Source organism: Homo sapiens, chromosome 12 (assembly GCF_000001405.40).
Source record: "Homo sapiens chromosome 12, GRCh38.p14 Primary Assembly".
In the NCBI taxonomy this organism is placed as follows: Eukaryota; Metazoa; Chordata; class Mammalia; order Primates; family Hominidae; genus Homo; species Homo sapiens.
The window spans coordinates 52,733,317-52,739,327 of record NC_000012.12 but is presented as its reverse complement, the minus strand read 5'-3'; the positions used below and the strand labels follow the sequence as shown (position 1 = coordinate 52,739,327).

Below are 6,011 nucleotides of genomic sequence, written 5' to 3'. Positions count from 1 at the left end.
TGTGTAGAGTTAGCATCCTAAGTTAGTGATTTTTTCCTCCCCACAGTGTGATATTGTTTAACATGTTTCTCCATCCTTTGTCCATATTTAAAAGAATTTATCGCCAGGCGCGGTGGCTCACGCCTGTAATCCCAGCACTTTGGGAGGCCAAGGCTGGTGGATCACGAGGTCAGGAGATCGAGACCATCCTGGCTAACATGGTGAAACTCCATCTCTACTAAAAATACCAAAAAATTAGCCGGGCATGATGGCAGGTGCCTGTAGTCCCAACTACTCAGGAGGCTGAGGCAGGAGAATGGCATGAACCCAGGAGGTGGAGCTTGCAGTGAGCCCAGATCGCGCCACTGCACTCCAGCCTGGGCTACAGAGTGAGACTATGTCTCAAAAAAAAAAAAAAAAAAGCTTTTAATACATTAAAATGGACTTTTTGGGTGTATAGTTACATATATACTTTTTCTTTTGAGACAAGGTCTCACTCAATCGCCCAGGCTAGGATGTTGTGGCAGAATCATGGCTCACTGCAACTTTAACCTCCTGGGCTCAGGTGATCCTCCCGCTTCAGCCTCCTGAGTAGCTGGAACTACAGGTGCACGCCACCAGGCCTGGCTAAGTTTTGTATTTTTTGTAAAGATGGGATTTTGCTACGTTGCTTAGACTGGTCTTGAACTCCTGGGCTTGAGTGATTCTCTCCCAGCCTCCCAAAGTGCTGGGATTACAGGCATGAGGCAATGCGCCCTGTCTCCAGTTCCATGAATTTTAACACAGTTATACATGTATAGATTTATGTACCCACTCCCACAATCAGGGTGTAAACAATTTCATCACCTCCCAAAACCCCCTCGTGCTATTTTTTATAGTTGTTCACTACCCCCACCCCTAACCTCTGGCAACCACAGATCTGTTCTCTGTCCCTATAGTCTTGTCTTTTTTTTTTAAAGCAAGTTTTTATTTATTTATGTCAGTAGCACCCCTTTCCCAGTCATGACAATTTTTAAAAAATTATACTTTAAGTTTTAGGGCACATGTGCACAACGTGCAGGTTTGTTACTTATGTATCCATGTGCCATGTTGGTGTGCTGCACCCATTAACTCATCATTTACATTGGGTATACCTCATAATGCTATCCCTCCCCCCTCCCCACCCCCCGACGACAGGCCCCTGTGTGTGATGTTCCCCTTCCTGTGTCCAAGTGTTCTCACTGTTCAATTCCCACCAATGAGTGAGAACATGCGGTGTTTGGTTTTTTGTCCTTGCGATAGTTTGCTGAGAATGATGGTTTCCAGTTTCATCCATGTCCCTACAAAGGACACGAACTCATCATTTTTTATGGCTGCATAGTATTCCATGGTGTATATGTGCCACATTTTCTTAATCCAGTCTATCATTGTTGGACATTTGGGTTGGTTCCAAGTCTTTGCTATTGTGAATAGTGCCGCAATAAACATACGTGTGCATGTGTCTTTATAGCAGCATGATTTATAATCCTTTGAGTATATACCCAGTAATGGGATGGCTGGGTCAAATGGTATTTCTAGTTCTAGATCCCTGAGGAATCGCCACACTGACTTCCACAATGGTTGAACTAGTTTACAGTCCCACCAACAGTGTAAAAGTGTTCCTATTTCTCCACATCCTCTCCAGCACCTGTTGTTTCCTGACTTTTTAATGATCGCCATTCTAACTGGTGTGAGATGGTATCTCATTGTGGTTTTGATTATCTCAACAGATGCAGAAAAGGCCTTTGACAAAATTCAACAACCATTCATGCTAAAATCTCTCAATAAATTAGGTATTGATGGGATGTATCTCAAAATAATAAGAGCTGTTTATGACAAACCCACAGCCAATATCATACTGAATGGGCAAAAACTGGAAGCATTCCCTTTGAAAACTGGCACAAGAGGGATGCCCTCTCTCACCACTACTATTCAACATAGTGTTGGAAGTTCTGGCCAGGGCAATCAGGCAGGAGAAGGAAATAAAGGGTATTCAATTAGGAAAAGAGGAAATCAAATTGTCCCTGCTTGCAGATGACATGATTGTATATCTAGAAAACCCCATCGTCTCAGCCCCAAATCTCCTTAAGCTGATAAGCAACTTCAGGTCAGGGAGGGCCTGAAGGCTGGGGAACGGTCGGCCAATCCCGCCAACTGGAGTGGGGACTTGTGGTACCTCCTTGGGGCAGCCCATGGACCAATCAGCACACACTTCCTCCCCTCTGAGGTCCATAAAAGCCCAGGGCACAGCCAGAGCAGGGGAAAGGACACAGAGGATGGAGAGATGAAGGAGGACCAGCTGCAGAGAGGAGCTACCCTCTCTGCTGATAGCTGGAGATGCCAGGACGACGAGCTGCAGAGAGGAGCAGCCTAGAACGTACAGTGCATTCATTTGATGGTCTGGGCGGGAGTTAGGCTTTACTCTGAACTACCCAGGCATGAGATGATTGCAGGTAAAGCCCCTGCAGGGCAGAGAGTCCTGTTCTTGCAGGCTAGGCACTGTCCAGAGGTAAGGAGAGTCACTTCCTCAGGACAAAAAGGGAAAACATTACCTTAGAGACTCTTGATGGCCCCTGCATCCCGAGGACCCCACCGCAGTGGATGTGGTTCCCGGGAGAGCTGAAGGGCTTTCTTTCAGGACCACACTGCACAATTAACTGAGACAAGGTCTCCTGTGAATATTTTATGTTTTAAGAGCTGGGATCTGACTGGCAGAAGTTAATGACTCAGGTCACCGGAGACAGGAGGAGCATGGAAAATCACCTAATTACAGCAAATGCCCTGATGTTTGGGGCTAGGTTCCAGTAGGAAGCAGCCCATCCATTGTAGGGAGCCTAAGTGTTTTTCTGCCTTGGATCTGGTGAAGGAAAAATGAGGCCAATGTCAGAGAAAAATCAAAGCAACTGGTGGCTCCAGGGTTAGGACCAAGATGTGTTTGGGATTTGAGGCATTGACCTGTTTTGGCTAGAAAATCAAGCTCAGGAAATTGTCAAATTAGTGAGCCAATCCACTGGGACTTATAAAAAGGGCCACCTCTCTCCTTGCATCAGAAAGTGCTCTTTCCTCAGGTTTTCTGAACCAGGACATCTTCCTGCATCCAGAGAAAATGATGAGCCAGCAGTCCAGCAGGACCTCCCAGGCCACCCAGGGCTTGAGTGGCCACTCTGCCATCCTGGTGTCTGGCTAGAGCCATGGTGGTGCCATCAGATCCGTCAGCCTCATGTTCTGGGGGAGGCAGTGCTGCTGCGGCCTATGCCGTGACAGGGGGCACCTTTGGCAGCAGGAGTCTGTACAGCTTTGCAGGGAGAAAGATCTCACTGAGGGTTGCTGGAGGTGCCGCCCAGGCTGGGGGCAGGTCACAGGGGTGCTGGGGGCAGGGCACAGGGGTGCTGGGGGCAGGGCACAGGGGTGCTGGGGCACCTTGGGAAGCAGTCTGTGTGGGGCTGAAGGAAGGGGAATGAAAAGTGGCTTTGGAGGAAGCTCCTTCAGCATTGGAGGGAGACCTGGTGGCTTTGGAGGACAGCCTTGAGGAGCCTCAGGCTTTGGAGGTTTGGGGGCCTTTCCCTTTGGCATCCAGGAGGTGACCATCAACCAGAGCCTCTGGTAGCCCCTGAACATGGGGACTGACGCCTAGATTGAGGTGAAGACCCAAGAGAAGGAACAGATCAAGACCCTCAACAACAAATTTTCCTCTTTCATTGACAAGGTGAGTGTCTGAGGTTGGAGAGGGTCAGAGGCCCTGAGACCCCCTGGGATCCCAGGCATGGGAGGCCTGGATTTGGAGACCAGGTCTGCTCCTGAGCCAGGGACTGGACAGAGCATAACCCTCTCCTCCATGGTTGATCACAGGTACGGTTGCTGGAGCAGCAGAACAAGGTGCTGGAGACCAAGTGATGCTTCCTGTAGGAGCAAATGGCCACCTCCAATGACCTGCAGCCCTTCTTTGAATCCTACATTGGCTGCCTCCAGGCTCACCTTGACAAGCTACTGATGGAGCGGGGTCGGCTGGAGGGGGAGCTGGGCACCATGCAGGCGCTCGGGGAGGCATACAAGAGGAGGTGAGAGGCAGTGCACCCGGTGGTGAGGCTCAGGTGCCCAGAACGTGAAGGTCATCTGGCCTCTGTGGGCATCAACAAGGAGCTGGGGCAATATGGATAAGGAAAGCACTTGACGGGGCTCATTGGTGGACCTGCCATGCAGCACTGTCTGTATGAGCAAAAGCTCTGCAGCCAGACTGCCCGAGTTTAAGCTTGACTATGTCTCTTTCTAACTGCACAATCATAGGTAATTTATTTAACCAATCTGTGCCTCAGTTTCTTCATTTGTAACACGGGGGTGATAACTGTACCTACCTTAAAAGTTTGTTTGACAGCTAAATAATTTAATATATGCTGTTCAAACAGTGCCTGGCAAATAGTGACACCTTATTAATTAATTAGTTAATACTAATGAAAGGCTCATCAACCAAATAGCTTGTTAATAATGCTGGTTTTATTATTACTGAATGACATGAACTACGAAGGACATAATAATGAAAGGTATTAAATGTCTACTCTGTGCTGGCCCTGTGCTTGGTGCTGGGGCTATAGCTGTACATGTGGAGCTCATGGGGCCGGTTGTTCCCATAGGGCCCTGTGGCTGGGGTAGCTGACTGCATTAGTGTGGCAGAGGCAGAAGAGTGGGGCCCTCAGTCATCGTGGCTGTGGTGTAGGGCCTGGACTGAGTGAGGGGCCCGGGAAAGAGAAGCTCAGGGGTGCTCTCTGGGGGTTCCCACCCTGTGGGACTGGAAGGGACATTAACTTCAGTGCTGACTGAGGAACACTGAAAGACTCCAGGGCTGTGGGAGGGGCCCAGGCCTCAGTGTGGGAGATGGGGAGCCATATGGGAGCATGAGGAGCAGGTGGGAGAATGGAGACTGCATTCCATGCAGTGTAGCTGGGCTTGGAGGAGGACAAGCTCTCACGCTTTTACCTCCATCACCAACATCCTGAACATTTATGCCAGTGCTGAGAAGGGCTGGGAGGACTCAGGGCTTCATGGATCCCTATGACTCAGAGAGATTTCTGCTTGGCTCACCCCTGAGCTGGACTGGCCAGGGACCTCTCCTAGTACAGCCCTCTGGTACAGCTGCAGCTGACCCACGCTGTTCCTCTTGCAGGTACTGTGAAGAGCGGAGCAAGCGTGCAGCAGCTGAGAAGGACTTGGTGCTTCTCAAGTAGGTGAGCAAGGATGGGGGCTGGATGGGGACTGGGATTGGGGCTACAGCTGCCAAAGCCAGGTTGAACAGTGCTCCTCAGGGGTCAGCCAAATTCCCATCGTGCCTATGAGACTTCCCAACGTTCCAGGACTTTGTCAATGCTGCCAGCCTGGTCACTTCTCAAATGTCACACTCTGCTTCCTTCATGATTAGATCAGTGCCAGAGGGTCCTGGGTGATGGGGGCAAAAAGTGATGAAGAGACAGAGAGATATGGAGGCTCTCCCTGAGACTGAGAGACTTCCCGGGAGAACATGCCCCAGGGTCACATGAACACTTACAGGTCCTCCATCACTGGTGTCTCATCTATCTCTTTCAAAGGCAGAAATTCTGCCATCTTTTTTATTGGCTCCTGTGTCTGAGGGCTTCCAGAGCTTATAAGGGCTCATCAGTTGCCAAATTGCTTTGAGCTCTTTGGAATATAATGCCACTTTCCTGCTGCGATGAGGCATTAGTGTCATACGTAAGAACTCTCTTTAATTCCTGCATCTCATTTTCAAGTCACTTTTTAAAAATATTCATATATTTATTCTCAGAACATACAAACATCTTCTCAGAGAATAGAAAACAGAGATTTCATTCAGTGACAAAGGACACAGTCAGTTCACCCTGTCCCCCCATCTACTTAGAAAATCCCCTGGGGAAGGGATGCCTAGAGCACACAGCACTCCTTGGTGCAGGGCTGTGCACAGGTCTAAAGGTTCTCAACTTCCTTTACCATCCAAACAGGAAAACGGCTGTCCAGATGACAGTAAGATT

General features: G+C 49.2%; 1 pseudogene; it reads left to right on the top strand.

Moving 5' to 3' along the window:
* Positions 3,357-4,041, top strand: KRT125P (keratin 125, pseudogene; annotated as a pseudogene).